Source organism: Homo sapiens, chromosome 15, assembly GCF_000001405.40.
Source record: "Homo sapiens chromosome 15, GRCh38.p14 Primary Assembly".
Classification (NCBI taxonomy): Eukaryota; Metazoa; Chordata; class Mammalia; order Primates; family Hominidae; genus Homo; species Homo sapiens.
Genome location: NC_000015.10, coordinates 91233302 through 91255037, shown reverse-complemented (window position 1 = coordinate 91255037; position 21736 = coordinate 91233302). Strand labels below are relative to the sequence as shown.

The 21736-nt window shown below is 41.6% G+C and overlaps 1 protein-coding gene and 1 long non-coding RNA gene across 18 annotated transcripts in view; one reads left to right on the top strand and one right to left on the bottom strand.

Annotated features, from left to right (window-relative positions):
* SV2B (synaptic vesicle glycoprotein 2B) overlaps nucleotides 1-21736 on the bottom strand; it is a 202978-nt gene that overhangs the window by 47528 nt on the left and 133714 nt on the right. For 14 of the 15 annotated variants that reach the window (NM_001323031.2, NM_014848.7, NM_001323032.3 and 11 more), the window contains 2 exons: nucleotides 3039-3219; nucleotides 2518-2669 (listed from right to left, as the gene is read on the bottom strand). The exons of the other annotated variant lie outside the window; for it this stretch is intronic. In NM_001323031.2, the coding sequence (NP_001309960.1) occupies nucleotides 2518-2669; nucleotides 3039-3219 (333 nt within the window). The remainder of the gene's footprint in view (nucleotides 1-2517; nucleotides 2670-3038; nucleotides 3220-21736) is intronic. 15 annotated transcript variants of the gene reach the window in all.
* Nucleotides 8961-16086, top strand: LOC105370972 (uncharacterized). Of its 3 annotated transcripts, XR_007064761.1 has the most exons (4): nucleotides 9864-9996; nucleotides 11362-11457; nucleotides 11597-11737; nucleotides 15686-16086. It is a non-coding gene; the product is annotated as an uncharacterized LOC105370972 (long non-coding RNA). The 3 variants fall into 3 exon arrangements; XR_001751656.3 differs by having other exon boundaries at nucleotides 8961-11457; XR_007064760.1 differs by having other exon boundaries at nucleotides 8961-11457; nucleotides 15666-16086.

The window sequence follows — 21736 nt, the reverse complement described above, 5'->3', positions numbered from 1 at the left end:
ATAGCTCCAGGGATGGGGAAGGAAGTGGATCTAAACCCTTCCGGATCTGCATCTCTTGGTGTATAGTGGTTGGCTGAGGTGGACACATGACCAAGGCTGATCCAATCAGAGGGAAATCAAAGACCCTTTCTCATTGGTCAAGTGTGAGGGCGGGCTTTCCCCATGAAACAAGCAGTCTGCAAACAGAAAGCCTCGTATTGCTAATGCTTCCAGGAGGGAAGCTGGTCTGAGTACTAGAATTATCTTGGAATTTTTCTCAACATTCATTCCTCTGTGCACCTCAAGAATTGCCAAAGGTTCGGGCTGGCAGGTATATCTAGAGCTGATTCTTTTTGTGTCACTTCTCCCCTCCATTTTATAGGTAAAAGAACCAAGGCTGAAAAGATGGATTGACTTGTCCCATATCACACAGCACCACTATTTGGATTCAGCTTTTATTTAGATTTCAGTTGCTTCCCTCCATAAAAGGTTTTTCAATCACTTCATTTAAATGTGAAAATAAGCCGGGCACTGTGGCTGACATCTGTAATCCCAGCACTTTGGGAAGCTGAGGCGGGTGGATCACTTGAAGTCAGGCGTTGGAGACCAGCCTGGCCAACATGGTGAAACCCCGACTCTACTAAAAATACAAAAATTAGCTGGGTGTGGTGGCACACACCTGTAATCCCAGCTACTTGGGTGTCTGAGACACGAGTACTGCTTGAACCTGGGAGGCAGAGGTTGCAGTAAACTGAGATCATGCTACTGCACTCCAGCCTGGGTGATAGAACAAGACTCTGTCTCAGAAAAAAAAAAAAAAAAAAGAAGTGAAAATAATCCCTTAGTATTCAAACATTTGGACCAGCTAACAGAGAAAATGATATTATATCAAGAATTGTGAGGAAAAAAAGAAAAAGGAAAGCAATGCCTCAAAACCATATAATCAACAGCATAGTACATAGTACAAGGGCAATTAAAGTGTGCATTTGAGTGAGGGATATCTTGCAGAACCTGACAGTAGCAGTAATACAATTTTGTATCTAAAATTATGGAGAACTAGAATGACAGAATTGGCTGGAAAACTCTTCAACTCTTTATTTCACTATTCCTTTTCATATTTTTTCTGTTTCTGATATAAAATCCAGTGGATTTTCAAGTACTAGATATGGCAAAGACAACATGGTGTTCCCAAACCCACTTCCTCTACTTTGTGGGCACACAGCTAAACTGTTACCCAGTGTCCCTTGCAGAAGAGTGTGGGCATGTTACAGATTGGGGGCCACTGGAATGTGAGCGGAAATGGTGAGTGTGTTCTACTTCCTGGCCTTCAGCCAATCTACAACTGCCCATTCTCTTTCCCCAAACCGGAGACCTTGTAAGCTGTAGGTTGAAGATGACAGAATGACACAATGGAAGGAGTCTAAACTCCAGAATTACTGATGGAGCGGAGCCACCTGCAGATTAGAAATGCCAGCCGGACCTCACATAAGGGAGAAGCTTTCACTGTGTTAAAACACTGAGATTTCAGGGTTTATCAGCTTGTCAAGGTAATGTACCCAGTGTCCAACACCTTAACTAATACAGTAGGTACTGTCTAAACCAAAGCTTGTTCTTAAAAACATATACATGCAGCCTCCATTAGCTGAGAAAGCACAGCAGAGAGGGTCATATTTAAAACAAGACAATAAATAGGTGGTAAACTATCAGTCAGCTTCAGGGGCAGCTGTCTGCTACCCCCTCGGGGTCTGAGGATTCTAAACCACTGCTGAACCTATACTCATAATCAGTGATTTACCAAAAATGATTTTGAATGATGATGATAGTATTACTAAGTATACTCCAAAAGCAGAATCAAAGTCAAAATTGCTGCCTTCTCCCTACTTTGCTCTTGACGAAACCAGTAGTAAAAGTTGATGTTGCCAGGTCTCTGTCCAGAGAATAGTGTTTACAATTATCCAGGAAAATAAAATTGTCCCGGCTGAAACCATGACCTTGTCTATAAGGGCTCCTGCACTGTCACGGCCAAACAAGAGTGACAGCAGGCACCAGGGCAGAAAGAGTACAAGCCTACTGCACCTGAGGGGACATCAGGACTCCAGCCCCCACTCCACCACATGCCAGGGACATGGCCTTGAGCAAGTCACCAACTTCTCTTGGCTTTTGTCACATACCTGTCATCTATTAAATCAGGTTACCAAAGCCCAAGTTGCTCAGGGGGAGGAGGGCTGGAGGAGATGAAGGTTGAAATTATTTCAAATAAAAGTAAGGAAACAAGAAAGGGAGAGAGGGAAGGAGAAAGGGAAGAATGAAGGAAGGGAAGGAAGGAGGAAAAGAGGGAGGACAGGATATATTTTTCAAAAAAGACATTGAATTGAAATTAACAATGTGTCTGCAATGTTAGAAGTTGTTAAGAAAGATCAAGGTCACGTACGGGAACTGTGCGTGAGTACATGGAATAAGGCTGAGGACAGGAACTATTGTTTGGGTGCAGGAGCCATAGAAACAGGGCCCCCTAGGCTGTTTGGAGCCATGACTCACCATAGTGTGGGATGATGCTCCAGGCCATGGCAGATGCGTACAGGCCCCCAGTCATCCAGAAGATGCCCAGCCAACTGAGGTGTTCTCCTCGCTTCTCCCGAGACAAGAATTCAGAAAAATAGGCAAAAACAATCGGTAGAGCACCCCCAATACTGCAAAGGAAAAATGCCAGAGAGAAAGAATCAAGTCATACACTAAAAATGGTCACAGCAGAAACCAAGTTGCCTATACCCCACCTTAGGCTCTGTGGTGAAAGGACCCAGTGAATTTGAGAGACCGGCCAGTTAGTTCCTCTCTACATGTGGGAAGCAGTCTTGGATTATTTTGACATTGCATGCTGACTTCAGAGGCTAATCCTAACCCTAACTCTTTCTAAGGTTCAACTTTAATATAGTATCCTGAAAGTCAAACAAAAACTCAGTCAGTCCAAGGGTTTCTAGAGTTACCTCTTGGAGCTAGAATACCAGAATGGATGGGCCATTGGTCTGGGATGGTCCAGCTCCACCTCCCTAAGAACATACCCGATGCCTGAGATGAGTCGGCAGAAGAGGAAGGCTCCATATCCCTGCACGAAGGAAGAGAGGGAGGCGAAGGAGGCATTGACGGCCAGAGACATGCTGAGGACTCGCTTCCTTCCCAGCTTATCAGCCAGGCCTCCCAGGATGAAGGCGCCCGCCATCATTCCCAAGTAGACTATCATCCCTGCAATGAGGGGGAGGAGAGGAGAGAATAGAGAGAAAAGACAAAAGATTAAGACTATACAATGTTTACAAAATACAATGTTCATTTTTATTTATCCTAGAATTTCTGTGTCATAGACACAAAATGGTGGAATGTGATATTTGTGGCAAATTGGAAGTGCTATACAAATATGACTTTTTACAAATTTTATCTTAAAAATGGCCTCACATATACACAGACTAACACAGATCAACCAAAACTGAGATGGCTGTAAGACCAGTCATTTAGGTACATAATCTGCAGACAAGGGAAATGTTGTAATTTTTTAAGCAAGGAAAGTCTTTGTGTTGCAAAAGCCCTCAACTGGTGGATTATGTTTAAGGAGAGAATTTCCAGGGTAAAGTGTGGCAAAGTGGATATTAGGAAGGAAGAACACGGTAGAAGTGAAAAACAGCAATTGCCAGCAAGGCTGGCTATGTTATTACCATCCAAGAAGGACCTTTCTTCAAGCTACAACCAATGTCTAGCCTTAAGGAAATGTAGTATATTTGTATATGGTGTGAGATAAGGGTCCAGTTTCATTCTTCTGCATGTAATATCCAGTTTTCTCAACGCAATTTATTGAAGAGACTGTTTTTCCCCCTATGGTGTGTTCTTGGCACTTTTGTTGGAAATCAATTGGCCATAAATGTGTGAATTTATTTCTAAGCTCTCTATTCTGTTCCATTGGTCTATATGTCTGTGTTTATGCCACTACCATTGTTTTAAATTACTACAGTTTTGTAGTATATTTGAAAGCAAGTAGTGTGGTGCTATCAGCTTTGTTCTTTTGGCTCGACTGCTTTGCCTATCCAAATCTTTTGTGGTTCTATATGAATTTTAGGATGTTTTTCCTATTTCTATGAAAAATGCCATTGGAAGTTTGATAGGGACGGCATTGAATCTGTAGGTTACTTTGGGCAGTATAGATACTTTAACAATATTAATTCTTTCTATTCATAAACATGGGATATCTTTCCATCTATTTGTGTCTTCTTCCATTTCTTCATCAATGTCTTATAGTTTTCAGTATAAAGACCTTTCATTTCTTTGATTAAATTCATTCCTAAGTATGTTTTAATGTTATTGTAAATGAGATTGTTTCCTAGATTTTGTTTTCAGATACTTCATTGTTAGCATATAGAAACATTACTATTTTTATGTTGGTTTCTTATTTTACACCTTTACTGAATTTGTTTATTTGTTCTAACAATTTTTTGGTGGAGTCTTTAGGGTTTTCTATGTATAAGATGCCATCTGCAGAAACCATTTTACTTCTTCATTTCTGATTTGGATGACTTTTATTTCTTTTTCTTGCCTAATTGCTCTATGTTGAATAGAAGTGGCAAGAGTGGGCATTCTTGTCTTGTTGCTGATATTAGGGGTAAACCTTTCAGCTTTTCATTATTGATTATGATTGTCAGTTGTGGGCTTGCCATATGTGGCCTTCTATACCTAATTTGTTGAGAATTTTTATCACGAAAGGATGCTGAATTTTGTCAAATGCTTTTTCTGCATCTATTAAGATGATCATATGATTTTTATCCATTATTATGTTAATGTGGTGTATCACATTTATTGATTTGCATATGTTTAAACATCCATTCATGCCAAGGACGAATCTCACTTGATCATGGTGTATGATCCTTTTAATGTGCTGTCGAATTTAATTTGCTAGTATTTTGTAGAAGATTATTGCATCTGTGTCCATCAGGAATATTGACCTGTAATTTTCTTTCCTTGTAGTGTTCTTCTCTGGCTTTGGTATCAGAGTAATGCTGGATTTGTAAAATGAGTTTGTAAATATTCCTTCACCTTCAATTTTCTGGAAGAGTTTGAGAAAGGTTGGCATTACTTATTCTTTAAATGTGTGGTAGAATTCAACAGTGAAGCCAGCAGGTCCTAGGCTTTTCTTCGTCGAGAGGTTTTTGGTTACTAATTCAATCTCTTTAGTCATTAATGGTTTGTTAAGATTTTCTATTTCTTCATAATTGAGTGTTGGCGGATTGCATGTTTCTAGGAATGTATGCATTTCTTCCAGATTACACAACTGGTTGTGTGCAATTTTTCATAATAATCTCCTGTGATCCTTCATATTTCTGTGGTATCAGTTGTAATGCCTTCTCTTTCATTTCATTTCTAATTTTATTTGAGCCTTCTTTTTTCCTTAGTCTAGCTAAAAGTCTGTCAGTTTTGTTTATCTTTTCAAAAAACCAACTCGATCCTTTAACTATTACACTTTGCTGCTCTTTACAGATAAGCATTTGTTAGATTCCTTCTCTTTACATTAGTTCATTCTTTCTTCATCTGCTCACCCCCAGTATTGCTTGTCAAGTGAGGAATGGTTCCATCCTTTCAAGGAGATAAACAATAAAATGTATGATTATCTATGAGTGAGAAAAAAGGTGCTCAATAAAGGTATCTGTCAGGTATTATTAAAACCCAGAAGAAGAGCAAACCTTGGATATAATTCACTCAATGTGGGAAGGCTTCCAAGAGAAAGACATTGAGCTGTTCTTGAAAGACAAACAGAATTTAGTCTGATTTCCATTTGGTGACTGAGGCAAAAAGAAAGTCTGATATGTTCGGGCAACTTCTTGTAAGTAGCCTAGCGTGAGTAGAGCATAGTTCATGTAGGGGAATCTGGTGAGGGTTCAGGCTAGAAGGTAGGACAGAAGCCAGATCATAAACATGTGTGTGTGTGTGTGTGTGTGTGTGTGTGTGTGTGTGTGAAAACGTAGATGTATGGATGCATGCACGTGTGATTGTGTGTGTGCACATGGGTGTTTGCATGTATGTGTATGGGCCCATAAACTGAAAGCAGGGAGAGGGAAAAGAGACTTAGAGGAGTGCTCCAGAGATTTGCTGAGAACTAGTCTCCACACCCCACACCCTGAGTCCACCCTAGAGAAAAACACTAGCATCCAATAAAAGTCTATTTTTTCTTTTACTTCAATAAAGCTGTCTTCAGCACTTCTCAAACTTTACTGTGCACATAAATCACCTGGGGATCTTGTTAAAATCATATACTGATCCAGCAGGCCTGAGATGGGCCCTGAGATTCTGCATCTCTAACAAGCTGCCAGCTGAGGCCAGTGCTGCTGGTCTGGGGACCACACTTTGAGTAGCAAGAGGCTAGAGCACATCTGTCCTCCTGTAAACAGTAAATAATGATGAGAATCCAGGCCTTGGAACCCAAAGATCTCATTCACTAGTTGTATGATTTGGGAGCAAAACCTCTCACTTTCTGAGGGTATTAATCACCTCATTTATAAACCGATTACTGAACTAGAGATGATCTCCAAGTTGCCTTCCCATTCATTAATTTTAAATTAATTTTTTAAAAATGTAAATAATGAAAGATGAAGTACTGTGGATTTCCAAGGAAGAAGATATGCAGATTAAAAACATAAACTCAGACACAAATGTTTGATTAAACTACTTAAGGCCATACAAGGCATTTTTTTGTTTGTTTGTTTTTTGTTTTTTAGATGCTCTGTCACCCAGGCTGGAGTGTAGTGGCACGATCTCGGCTCACTGCAAGCTCCGCCTCCCGGGTTCACGCCATCCTCCTGCCTCAGCCTCCCTAGTAGCTGGGACTACAGGCGCCCACCACCACGCCCGGCTAATTTTTTGTATTTTTAGTAGAGACGGGGTTTCACCGTGTTAGCCAGGATGGTCTTGATCTCCTGACCTCGTGATCCGCCCACCTCGGCCTCCCAAAGTGCTGGGATTACAGGCGTGACAAGGATCTTTATGACATTGTACACATGGATCAAAATATCACAGGTGCTCCAAAATATGTACGACTATGATAAATGACTTTAAAAAGAATCGAATAATAATAATAAAGATATCCTTAACAAAAAAGTGGCTTCTAACCTACCAGTTTGCAATCTTAGCAATGAACACTGTGCAGTTATGAAATTATTGTCCCTCAGCTCCAAAGCCACCCTCCTAGACCTTACTTGGTCCACAAATCCCGGTCAGTTTTGCCAGCCACTCTCTGCTAGGCTCTGCCAATAGAGGGCGCTAGAGGGAGGCTTCAGGGCTGGGGAAAGAAGAAAGCACCTGTCCTTTCTGTTCCCTGTAGGTTTCAGCCTGACTGCAGCAATTCCTTTCTAGATAGCAGCTGCATCCAATTAGCAGAGGCCACATTGCACTTCATTCTCCTCTCCAACACCAGCAACTGCCAGCCAGGGCCTCTCTTAAGAGAGCTGAGTTGCAGCTTTATGGAACCCCTTTTCAAGATTCTAAGTTATAATCATTCCAATCTCTTTCCTTTATTCTCCAAGCCCTAGGGGAGGTAGCTTCTCCCTGCATTTGCTACCTCAGTGAAACTTTTCAAAAGCGTTTCACCCATCCTGTTAATAATTTTTACATTAAAATCTCTCTTTTCAAGTAACTGGTATGATTTGTCTCCTGACTATCCCATGACTGATCTAGACACCTAGACAAATTGAAAAACTTTACAAGTTAGATGTTGAATCCAACCCCTTAGTTTTACCAGACGAGGAGGCTGAGCCCCAGAAAGGGTCAATAACTTGCCCAGAACCTCAATGCTGGCCGAGGACCTGCTGGCACTGCATTTCTGGTCTCCTGGCTCCAGGCCTTGTGCTTTCACTACTAAACCTCACTGTCCAAGGTCATGGAGGTACCAGAGAGAATAAGAAGAGCTTCTCAAATGCTGTCTTTGAAGTCTAGGAAAAGGAAGAATGAAGGAAAAATGAGCCTATCACCAGGGAAGGGAAATACAAAATTAACAATGTCTCTGGAATGGCTATGTTATTAGACTCATTTAAAATCTGTCTTTAGCAAAAGAAATTTAAAAAATACATTTGGAAAATTAGAGTGCAGTGGAGTTATCAAAAATTACCTTAGTGTGAAGCAGATAAGGAACTAGTTAGAAAGCCAGAAATTCAATCTTCCCTCAATTTCACTCAACAAGCTCGGTGGCATATTAGGGAAATGATCCCTTAATATACTGAGATTTTTGAGGAAATTGAAAACCAGGATTGCTACTTGCAGAGCAAAGGAGGAAGAGGAGAAGAAGGAGGAGGAGGAGGAGGAGGAGGAGGAGGAGGAGGTTGAAAGGAGGAGCGATGTGGTGGAGTGGAAAAGACTTTTAATTGGTGGTAACACAACAAAGGAAATAGAATACCCCTCCTTGGAAGAGGGAGGAGCCTGCAGTGACAGGCACCATGCAAGAAAGAGCCCAGTTCTGAGACTGAGACATCTGGGCCATGGTCCTGGCTCCATGACTACCACAGCATGCCTGTGGGCAGCCCATTCAGCCTCTCTGACCACTATTACATCTTTGTAAAATTCGGTGCCCATCTTTGCAGAGTTGTTAGGATTATATAGGGGAGTGGATTTAAAGTATCTAGCAAAATGCCTGGCACCAAAGTAAATGCACATTTAATAAAAGCTGCTATTGATGTTATTAGCAGTACAGCTTAAAATTGTCTAGGACCTTGGAAAGCCACAGGATTAGAAAAATAAAAATAAGATGGTGATATTTTAAAAACAAGCCAATCATATACTAAAGGAATATGAGGAAAAAGGATAGAGAATAGCATAGGAAACTTATTTTTAGTAGTATGCCCTTTAAATAGACCTCCCTCTCTCCTTACCTGGAGAAGAAGCCAGCTTCCAATAAAAAGCTTTTTTTGAAAAATATTTTCGAAGTTTCCTCTAACAAGACTTTGAAGGGGGGATTTTTTTTTTTTTTTTTTGCTAACTCATATTTCTTCAGTTCCCACATTAAATGTCATCTCCTTAGAAAGGCATCCCTGATGTTCCAAACTAAGGCTCCACCAACTTTTTCTATAAAGGGACAGAGCATAGATATTTTACTTGTAAAATGTACTTTGCCAATCTTCTATGGTCTCTGTCACATCATATTATTATTCCTAAATTTACAACCCTTTAAAAATGTTAAAAAAAAAATTGGTCATAGGTTTGTAGACCACAGTTTGTTGGTTCCTGTTCCAAATTTCAGTCGTCCCTGATAGTCTTTTGGCAGCATACTATTGCTTTTCCTTTGTATCACATGTCTCTATTTGATGTTATATATTTATTTGTTTGATATTTGCCAAACTCCTGTGACTGTAAACTCCTGGACGAAGGGACCATGTTGATTTTGCTTGAGGAGAGTTCGACACTGTGTCTCTAGCACAGAGATGTACACATAGTAGGTACTCCATTAATATTTGTTCAATAAATAAAACAATCTAAAAGTAATTCCTATTCACTGTAAGAAAATCTGAGGAATACCCCCCAAAATGTATAAAAGGTAAAGCAATAATCTATTCATCATACCACCACTCAGAGACAGCTGTTGTCAGCAGGCTTTATTTTTGTATTTGTATTGGTACGTGTATAACTACATACTGTATTTACACGATAGAAATCTTTCTGTCTCGAAAGCTTCATAGTCTAGCTTTTCACTTAATAAACAACTCAGCAAAGAATATTTTATGCATATGTCTTTGTTGGTGTTTCTAGTTATTTGCTCAGAATAGATTCCAAGAAATCGAATCATGAGATCGAAGGAGATCAACAAGTTTGTGGCTCTTGAGACACAATGCCAAATATCCTTCTAGAGAGCTGGCAGATATCAGAAACCTCTTCTCAGCTTTAGAGATGCTTTTCACACAGACAGAAGATTTCCTCTCCACACCAGAGGCAGCAGGATAAGATGTACCATCAGACCGCACTGGCTTACCGTGGTGACAAGAAAGAAGAGGCCCTGACTGGGTGAGCTTCTTTATTTAGCAATTAACCAAAGACAAATAAACCACTTCTAACCTTTTTCTTGCTTGAATATGTAGAAATTAAATGCATTCATTATCCTGAGAGGATTATGAGCTTCTTTTTCCTGCAGTGACTCAAATATTTATTTGACTGTATGCATATGCTTTGCAGGAATAAAAATCAGCATCTTCCAACTAAACCATTTCCATTGCATCTATAATAACATCTCTAAAAAGTAATTCCTGTCATTTCCATTCCATTTATTTATTACTCAACCAAATATACCCCCCTTGAAGGGTAGTATTCTCTTGGACTAGGGCATGGGATTCACAGTTCCTCAAAGTGGTAAATGTGATAAATGTTTTAACATATATGGGAATCCCACAAAGAACTCTCACTTTGGTATTAAATCATGGAGGAACATCAGGGTATCCATCTGCACACCCTATGAAATAAGATGCATTGGGTAAGTCAGCCAGGTGCTTTGTTTATGTGGCATCTGGACGCTTGGAAACTTCTGGATGAGTAAACACTTTCTTTTGGGTCGAAAAGGTTTGGCTTTAACATGTCGTCTAGTGGAAACCAATCTAGAATCACCATGTTCGACTTTTCTAGTCTTTTATGGGTCCAGTAAACTCAAGTGAAGGAATCTTCAGAAGTGGGTTAACTTGTCCATTCTCTTGGTAGTTGGAATTCTTTCCTAAATGTCACATAAGATATTTGGATACAAATGTGTAGAGGAGAAATGAAGGGACAAAAGAATTAACATTTGTTGATCTCCTGCCATATGTAAGACACTGTGATAGATCACATGTATAATAATTTCAATTTGTCATTCCAACCTGGTGAGGGAGGTATTAATGGCTTCATTTAACAGATGAGGAAACTGAGGTTAAGAGATTTCCTCTCTGACCACAATTATTAAAGTATAAGTAAACTTTCCCAATCTCTGATGAAAGAACCTAGGATTATAGTTGAGTGAGTCACCAATGCCCCAAATTATGACATAGCCCATGAAGAAAGATACACTAATACTCTTCAAGGACAGCAGGGTTGGGGTGAGGCATTTGTCACTCTGCCTGAGGATGCAACATTCTCACTTGCCCTGGCCCCTCAGCTCAGGGCGAGCCACAGCACAGCAGAAGAGCAGAACCGCCCCTCCTGGAAGTTCTAGGTTCTGAATGTGTCCAATAGGCCCAGAGGTGAGGGTCTACAGGCAGATCAGGGAGTCTGAGAGACAGAAGCCCCTTGCTTCAGCAGCATTGGATTTAAGGACAGAGCCTTAAATCAGGAAGAAGTTCTCTCTCCAACCATATACAGGGGAAACTAAAGACTTTGCCTGGCAACCTAGAGACTTTATCATCGCAGGAGATGGATAACCAAGATGAAACCATGAGACAACATTCTGGGCCAAGCAGTGAGCAATGAGGAGACCCAGACCCCAGGTTCCTGGCTGTGTCTTTGGTGAGTAGAGACATATCCACAGCCACAGTGGAAGCAGCTGCAATAGAAAGGATTTAAGACAACAGTGAGGTTTCTGACTGGGGCTCACCTTAGCCTTGGGGCAGAGGGGTATCTGTCACTTTCCTTAATCTTCTCTCAGGCTAAAAAGAAGAGGCATTAAGACAGATTCCCTGAGGATACTTCAAGAACCCTGAAATTGCCTTGCTCACATACCACCACACTAGAGATGTTTCAGAAAAGCAGCTTCCCTTTTGGTGCCTCCAATCCAGAATGACTCCAGGTGAGACGGGTAAGAGGAGGTGTCACCTGGGCCAGTGGAGGTATGACACCTCTGATAGCTCTCCTGGGCACTGTGGGCATCTCAGATAGGATCATAACCCAATGAGGCTCAGTGATGCCTCTGCCATTTCACTTAAGACCAAGTTGTGGTCATTGCTAGAGGGTGGAATATTGTGTCTGATGAGATATAGGAATAGTCCAGGGGTCTCATAAGAGGGCAAAAGCAGATGCCAACAGGGCCCAGGCAGGTTATACAAATGGGTGATACTTCCAGACATCCCTAATAGGGAGTGTGGGGACTGAGAAATACATGCCCGTCTAAAGGGAGCAGCCACCACCTAACTTCAGCCAACTGCTGTGTTACAGAAGATAGACCCTATTCCTACAGTTTCAAAAAGAACCAGAAATCTAGATTGCTAAATAAAATCTCTGAGTTTTAAAACACTACTAGCCAAACAGTAGTTTCACCTACTATTTGAGAACCCTGTGTGACAGAGATTTGTGCAGCCTTTAATAGCATGTTCAGAAAGTGAGTATTCGTATTTAAAAAAATAATAGGTAACTCCTGGGTCAGATCTCTTCATCCTATGACGGTTACTCTTATTCTGCTATTCACCCTTTTATCAAGTATTAAGCAACCCCTGGATACTGATGTCCTATGCTCTCTCCCACCTCAGAGTCTTCACACTGCTCTTTCCTCTATCTAGAATGTTCTTTGTTCAGATCTTCGCATGGCTGGCTCCTTCTCATATTTCAGGCGAAATCTCAAAGAGGCCTTCCCTGACCATCCATCCTCAATAGCCTCTCCCTCCAACAGGTGGAATCGTAAAGATCAGTTAGCAGGCCACCACATGTATTTCAAGTGAATGACGCTGATGACTTGGGCCAGGTTGGTAGGTAGAGGAAAGTGGTAAGAAGTGGCTGGATTCTGGATGCATTTTAAAGGTGGCATCCAGAGGAAAGGTGGTAATGAAAGCAGACAACAAACACGATCCCCAAAGAAGTGACTGGCAATACACAAGAGATTCAAGGACTGAGCACTGAGACATTCCAACATTTAAAGGCCAGGAATATGAAGAGAGACCAGTGATGGAGAACAAGAAGGAGCAGCCAATGGGCAGGTGGAAAACGAGGAGACAGAGGTAGCTTAGATGTCCAATAAAGAAAGCGCATCAAGGAGGAGAGAGTGGCTAACCGTTAGAGTTGCTGTGAACAGGTGAATAAGCTGAGGATGAGAGCTGACTGCTGAACTGAGCAAGTGGAGGCCAAGAGTGATCTAGACAAGAGCAGGTTTCTGAAGAGGCGAGGATTAACTCCTGCTTAAAGATGAAACGTCCTCACTCATTCATTCTACTGAAAGTGGGTTCAAGTGAGAACAGAAAGTGAGGAACTGGGTTCAGTGAATTTTACTGGAAAGGGAATAGAAAAGATGTGTGTGGGATCAAGACTGAAGAAATGTGTAGTGTGCTGGTGGGAATGATTCCATAGAGAGATAAATATTGATGAGGAGGAGTTACAAAATGATGAGAAAAAGGATTACAAAAGTGATGTTCTGGGGAGGTGAGAGGGGATGGGATACAGGGAGACCAGTGAGCCTCACACCTCCTCCACTGTCACAAGAATACGGGGTCAGCACAGAGGCAGCGAGGAAGGTAGGTGTGATAACAGGGGCTATAGAAGTTCTTCTCCGGTTACTTCTGTTGTTCTCAGTTCAGGAGGAACTGAGTTTATTAATCTGAGAGTGAAGATGAGGAAGAGATGCTGGAAATTGGAAAATAGTGGATAAGACACAAAATAACCATCAAGGAGAGTGTGAAGGGATGAGGGAAATGAAGGATGATGGCTGGCAGCACAAAGGATCCTCTGGAGGCTCTGCATCATCAATTTAGTGAGGCCAGTGGGCAACATTGTATGTTCTGTGTTCCTGACCACCCAGGTGCAGCAACGGGGTTTAGGGACAGATGGAGGAAAAGTCGGATGCAACCAGGGGTGGGGAACACAGCAGAGTAAGAGAGGTGCAAGGAAGCTGGTGATGCGCACAGAAAGTGACTGTGATTATGGACATGGACATTAAGCTCAGTGAGGAATGTGGTGAGAACAAGGGGGTAATAAGAGGTTAAAAGTCTAAAGATTGGAGAGGACTTTAAGGAAACGACAGACCAGGATAATGGAAATCACTTATTAAAATCTCCAAGGACAATAATAGAGAGATGGTTGGAATGTGACCGTGATGAACCTGGAACTAAAATTCTCCAGGAATGAGAGCACATGGCCCAGTCAGTGGATGACTGCAACAAGAATGTGTAGTAAGTGATGCTCTCTGATGACAAGAGATTCGAATATGAGATCTTTTAGTGAGGAGAGAGGGAGAATGGCCTGGAAATGTCCAGGGGGAGCAAGAAAGAGCAATGGTACAAGAGTGGAGGCTGTGACGGGGCCAAGAGCACTCATCTGAGGCTGCAGGGCTAATTAACATCCTCAGAGGAGAAGGGGGAAACATAGGGGAACGGAGGCATGTACAGTGTCATACGGGAATGCAAATGTGGATGGTAAGGGGTGTCCTGGCAGACATGAACCTCTCACGGTGATTGACATACAGGGATAAAGAGCATAATGAAATTAGTCCTGATCTTGGTGGCAAGGCTGGTAGTACTGGGGAGAAAAAATGCTGGGAAGCTTACCAAGAATACATTGAATTCTAGAATCTTCTTTACTCTTGCCAGTGGAAAAATGGAGGTCAGAGAGAGCCATCTTGGTTTTTTGGGGTTTTTTAGCCTTTTTCTTTATTAAAATGTTGGCTCCATGACAGGACAGGAGGGACTAACACCTCTTGTTCATCAGTAAACAAGCCCGTGAGTAAGTTGACTCTTTTAAGGAGCTACTGAATAAAGTGAAAAGTTAAAAATATACAAATACCAGCTCATATTTACTGGATCCTTACTGTGTGCCAGGAACTGTGATGAGCCCTTTATGGGCTTTATCTTATTTAATCCTCACAATGCTTCTGTAGGCAGGTACTAATAGTATTTTAATATCACACATTAAGAAACCAAGGTTAGGGAGGTTAAGTTACTTGTGTAAGATGATAGGGTTAGTGATGTAGCCAAGATATGAAGTCAAACAGCCTATCTTTAAAAACCTTGTGCCTGCAATAGACTCTGTTGGTCATGTTCCCAACAGCCCTTTTCCCTCTTCTTCCTTGCTAAGGGAACCCTGGCTTTTGTTCAGGTATTAAACGTGTTCAGAGAGATTGCCTCCTCAGACACACTCAACCCTAAGGGATCAATCATAGTTCATTCAACAAGGTCCTCTTCATCCAATTCTTCTTGCCAGTGATTAATCCAGGCAAGCCATAAGACTTGGTGGACACCTGCCAGGTGATTGGAAAGCCATTATCGGGGGACTTAGATTAGAGCTATGGTGGCTATCTTGTGACCACCATGGAAAGTAAAGAGAATCGCAGACATGCCAACCTCATGCCCTGACATCAGTGAGTCATCGAACCAACTCTGGTACCACCTACTTTGAAAATTCTTGATCAATAAATAATGAGTATCTTTATGATTCAAAGCTATTGTTACCAGAAGCCAAATGCACCCTATACACATGCTGCCTTCTAAAAAAGAAACCATACTAATGAAAGACTCTATCTGATTGGTTTAAATAATCATCCCTCACAAGCAAACAGCAAGACAACTTGGCACAGGGGGAAGAATTCTGTGCCAATAGTCAGGAGTCCCAGATTCTGGTCTGAGAGTATATGACCTTGACCAAGTCACTTTCTCCTTGGGGCTCAGTTTCTTCAAGTCAGAAACGAAGGGCATGCTAGGAGGTCTCCTTCCTTTCTTTCATTTCTAATATTAGATGGTACTATAACTTTGTAATTCATGCCTTATACCTTATAATCTGTTACCATGTCTCCTTTCGAGCACAAGACTTCCTTTTCTAGGACCCACCGAGAGGTGAGGCAGAGAGGACAAGGCAAGGACAAAACTTCTTTGGACTATTTTCTGCACATCCCCAGCAGAGATTGATGAATGCCTCTGAGTCAGCAAAATCTCCAGTGGTGAAACAGAAAGCGTACACTCCACACATTCAAGCAGCCAGGCCAGCCCACACGGAGAAGAGGATGTTCACATCCAGCCTGTTCAGTGGACCCCATGGGGCATTTCAAAGGCTATTACATTTCCAGGACCTTCTATCACACCCCCTTTCTTCCATCCCTGCTAATATTTGTGACTTTCCAGCTTTCTTCTCTGAAATTAAAATCAAACCTTTGCAAAGTGAAAATCAGTTCATCTGAGCTAGTGCTGGTTAAGATTTACAAAATAAAGAGGAATTTTACACCCACTGGCCTCAAAGAGTCATTTTAGCTGGCAGTCATGAGCTCCACCGAGGACCCGAGTGTTCTCTGTCTGACCGGGTTGCTGGCGGAAGGGATGCGGGAAATTCTTTGTGCTCTGTTGCTCTGCTCCATACTTAGTGACGGATCATCTCTTGGGCCCCTGACACAAAGGATGGCAATGTCACCACTCAGCTCTCTGGCAGCCTATTCTAGGCTGACAGTCTAGCCTCAGGGATCACTGCAGACCCCTGCAGTTTCCCCTTCCAGTGAAATCAGCTGGGTGCTGATTTTACACCCACTGGCTGAGACACAAACAACATCCCTCTCTCGCCTACAGAGATGGGCTGGCACTGACTCCAGCACCCTGAGAGGCCAATGCCAACTTCACACTTGCATCTTATTGGAGTCATGCATTTTGCATAGAAGTTGTTTAAGGTTATATGTGTAATGCGCACCTGGAAAAGTCTTCCAGGGGTGGGACAGCAAGATAAAGGAGAAGCAACAGACTTTGAAGTCAGATATAACTGGATTTTTGAAATCCTAGATCTGTCACTGACTAGTTTTTCCAAGTTACTTTACCCTCTTAGAGCCTATGTTTTCTCATCTGTTAAACAGTGAAAATCATGTTTGTCTTTCAGGTCATTATAAAGGTTAGAAATGGTATAATGTAAGATACCTAGTACAAAATGGATGCAAAGAAAGAGCTTATCAGATTATAACTCTTGGTAGTGGTGATAGTAGTATAATTATTATAATTTGATTTTAAATTAGAAAAAAAGGAACAGGTTATATAAGACAGTGGGAAACAACTGATTTATTCGTATCAGTTTCTTTTGCTTTCTATGAAGAAGTCTGTATGGGAGAAAATAAACCTTTCAACTTCATTCATATAAAGGAACCCACAGTAACAATGAGTGGCAACACAGGACAGGAAAATCACATTAGGAACTGGGGTCCAGCACTCATGCCTTAAGGTCTCTGAGCAACACTCCCCTCATTGCATAAATACAGACTATCACTCTACTCATCTCACAGAGTCATTTAAAGACCAAATAAGAGCGATTAGGAAAACCATTGAAAATCTGTAAAGCACTGTACAAGATTTTTTAATGCAGTTCCATTTTTTCATGCTACCGAAGATATGTGCAAATATTCCAAACATCATCGCAAATACAGGAAGGAAGCCATGTGGGGATCGTTCCTACTTTTTAATACAGCTCGATAAGCAAAAACCCTGCCATCTCAGCAGCTCCTACTGATACACAGTCTTTGTCTTAAGCAAAAACCCTGACATCTCAGCAGCTCCTACTGATACACAGTCTTTGTATAAACTACGTGGTTCTCTACTCTGGCTGTACAATAGTGTCACTATGGAGCTATTAAAAAATGTATATGCCCATGACTCATCCATAGACATTCTGGCTTAGTTATTCCAGAGCACAGCCTGTGCTTTTTATCAGCAGCTCCTCAGGTGATTCTATTGGGCAGTTAGGATTAAGGACATTCATCTAGTGCAGTGGTTGTCAACTGGAAGTGATTTTTCCCCCCAGGGGACATTTAGCAATACCTGGAGACGTTTCTGGTTGTCACAACTGGGAGCAGGGTGCTACAGGCATCTAGTGAGTGGAGGCTAGGGATGCTGCTAGGCATCCTACAATGGAAAGGACGGCCCCTCAGAACATGGAATTGTCCAGCCCAACATGTCAATAGTGCATGACTTTGAGAGGGGCCACACAGAGGACTCATTCTAAAGAAAGTCAGGAACTGCCCATACTGCACAAACATAGCTCAGCAATATTTCTGGTTTCACATGCTCTCCAGAACCTTGTCATTTCCTCCATTAGAAGATGGAGTCTATTTCTTCTTTTTGAAATTGAACTGGTCTTTATTACTATCTCAACAAATAGAATTCAAGGAAATAACATGCCTGACTTCTGAGGCAAAGTCACAAAAGGCTTCTGCTTGTCTTTCTCTCTCAAGATCTCTTTCCAAGCCAACAGGTTAAAAAAAAAAATCCAGCTACCCTGGAGCTGCCATGTTGGAAAGATCACATTTAAAGATCGTATGGAGATAGAGAGAGATGCTCAAAAGAAGCCCCAGCCATCTGCGTCTTCCAGTTTGGGTACCAGATATTTGTGTGGGTGAGCCCTCCGATGATTCCAGCCCCCACCTTCCAGCTGCCCCAGGTAATGTCAAGTGGAATAGGGGCCAGGTGTCTGCCCAGACTGCAGATTTATAAGCAAAGTAAATGGCATGGAGGTTTTGGTTCTACGGGGAGTATATGTTTGCTTGCTTGTTTGATATGTAATAATAGATAACCAGAATAAAGTCCTTTATGATTCTATAAAAGATCCATCTCTAAACCCTCTTCATTGGGCCACCAAGGTCAAAAGCTTACATATACTTGTACAGGGAATGAGTTTTATATATTTCCAGCCCACTCCCAACTCTGCAACTTCCACCTCCATTCTCAGTAAATATGCCAGTTTACTTAAGAATTCCTCCCATTCATTTCTGTTGTGCTTTCTGTGGTCTGGAAGATCATATTTTCCAACATGTGGGTCAAGGGTCTTATGGGTCTTTTTTGTTCTTGGTGAAGTTTTCCATTGTGGAAGCAAATATAAGCATAAATATAGGTGAATCAATACAAATAAATAAATAACATATGTTTATTCTGATAATTAGCAAATTGGTAGTTACTAAACATCTTTCATTTACCAGGTCTTCCAGAAGGGTGCACTTAACTGTGGAGGAAAAACAACTCATTAAAGTCTTTGAAGGTGACATTGCCAAGGGAGATATTCTGCAGGCAAAGTGGACAGAATGTCCTGAGACATCCTTGCTTTAATCAATGTTGAAACAACTGAGAAGCTAAAACATCAGGTTTTGCAGTTGGATCAGGGGAGCAGGATGAGTACTGACTAAGCACCTACTGTGTGCAGATCCTGAGCAAAGTAGTTACGGCAGTTAGCAGGGGTAATTGCATTTAATTTTCCCAACATCCTTGGGAGCTAAGAACCATCCTCTACTGCCCGGTCTTCTCTCTCTCCCCCTCTCTATCTCTGCATCTCCCTCTCTTTCCAGACATTCCTGTTTATTCCCAGTAAAACTAAAATCTACACAAGCTCCACATATCTTTGATTAAATCTTGATCAAAATCCAATAACTCAGAAACTGTAAGTTTCAACAAGGAGTTAATAATTTAAAGTTGTTGACACAAGTGCTTTTGAGACTGGTAGTAGGCTCTCTCCTCTGATGTTGGAATAAGCTGAAAGGCACAAAAAATAGCAGTAGACAAGTGGGGAAAGTGTCACATTCAAAGCTAAATCCATACTGAATCTGTATCTCACATGATAAAATGAGTGTTTTGTGTGCAAGAACTTCTCCTCGAGAGATTTTTTTTTTAACCCCCGGTGGTTTAATTGTGAAATTGCTCTTAATCTTGAGAGTACGGAGCTTGCTTTTTGGTTGGCTGGCTAGGTGGTTGGTTGGTTGACTGTAGAAAACTTATTTCTATTCATTGTGTGTTAGTTACAGAAAAGTGAATTTACTCATAAGCTTTGTAATAGTCAACCCTCTGACTATGAATTCACCGACTGTATTATAATAAACGCAGCCCACTGTGTAAAGATGTAAATCTCTTGATGTTAAGAAGGGTTTTCTTCCTTGCATAAACTGTACAAGAAAATAATGGTGCTTATAGCAGAAATGTCTTTAAGGCCTACATAAAAACCTCAATTTTTCAAAACACTCAAATGGCTTCTACTATTACCTCTAAAGACTAGTTTAGGAATTGCATATTTCTTTCTCCAATAACATTCTATGGGTTCTCCCACCTCCAGTCTCTCTCCTCAATGATCCTTTCTTCACCAATGTGGTGATTCTGCTAGTTGCTCAGGATGTCTCTTCTAATTATGCATTCCTGAACTGGGGGGAAAACCACAGAACAAGCTTGAGGACCCGCTGTGAGATGGACCTGAGCTAAAACTCCATTGATCACCTAACCACCATAAGCTCCTACTCTGACTGATGGGCCACAGTGACGTTTTCAGTCTCTTGGAATTAGTGTCAGTTCAGAGCAAGTATCTTCAAAAGGTCTGACTATTTTCCTTTCCCCAATGCACAGTCACCTAGTAAAAGCCCACAGGTCTCTTTGGGGAACACTGAGAGAAAGATTAATGGTATAAATTTTTGGCAGTGTACTGGGGTCCCTCCTCAAGGAGATTCAGCCTCCCTTTCATTCAAGGGTTTCTGGGTCTGTAAACTGGCTCAAGTCTGGGAATTGACCAAGAAGCCATGATGCTCTGTTTCTATATTTCATGAGACTTCTGTTCACTTGACCTAGAAGTTTACTCTTATACAGATCAAGTAAGAGTTTAGTAGACCTCCTATTTATTTCATTTCTAAAAATGCCACAATGAACTAGCCAGTACCACAGGTCTACATAGGTCAGACTGTTCTGATTTCTGCTTTGCCTCTGCTGTCCACTACAATAACCACACTCCCCTTGCCTTTGGTGACTGAGTGCCACCACTTGGCCCTTGCACCCTGGGATCCAATTATTCCCACTGCATTTAGGTATTGCAACTCCATGACTACAGTCCACACTGTAAGGTCTGTTCCAGAGAGCACAGTAATCACAGATCTCTTTAAGAACACTGAGGATCCCCTCAAAAAACTCACATAGTCATGGTAAAAGATGTGTCCTCTGAACCCTCCAAGTGAGGGTGAGTAAGTCTGAAATGAAAAATCCGCTCTAACATGCAAATATTCCTAGGCCTTTCAATCTCTTCCTCTACCATAAACCAACATAGGTCTGGCATTTCGACTTCATTTACTATGGGCCACATTTTGGTCTACATTTCAGCCAACCAATGAAACAAATAGTAGAGTTTTTTCCAGCCCTACAAGCTGCAACATTAAATGCAGAATTTCTGCTTAGTGGGCCCAAATCAATAAATGTAGCCTGACCCAACTTTATGTTTCTTCCACCAGTATCCCACACCCTTAATATCCATTCCTACATATACTTTCCAGAAAAATCAAGTCATTCTTTTGGAGTGTAACCACCTCTTCATGGTCCACACGTTGTGCCTCACCTTTAGAGGCCTGATGGGACTTGACTCTAGTTACAGGTCTAGAAGCAAAGAGGGGTGGAGGGGTTGGGTCCTGATGAGAATCAGCAAGTCTTGCAAGGCAACTGCCTCAGGAGAGGCAATTACAGACTCCTCAGTCAATGCAAAGTTCATCTCCTCTGAATGGGGGCAGAGAGGATGCTTATAATGGCAAAGAAGACTCATCAGAATGTAGGGGCTCAGTGTTCCCAATTTCATCAGTCTTCCCACACATCCCCATGCTAACTTTCAGGATCTCATTCCTTCCCAATCAATGTTCTCACTTTAACAGAAGACACCCTGCAAGGCTGGGAATTCAATTTTCACTATAATTCAGCCACTCACAGAATGAGATTCTGGGTTTGGTTTTCAGCAATCTCAGGAGATAAGGATCTCTTTCAAGGGAAACACAGAAGCTTTCAAATCCTTTATGCAGCATTTGAACTGGGAATTTGAATCCTTGGGCTCATTCATTTCTTTCCCCCACTTTGTCCAGTAACATTAGTGCTAACAGCCAAAGTCTTTATACTCATTAGTTTCA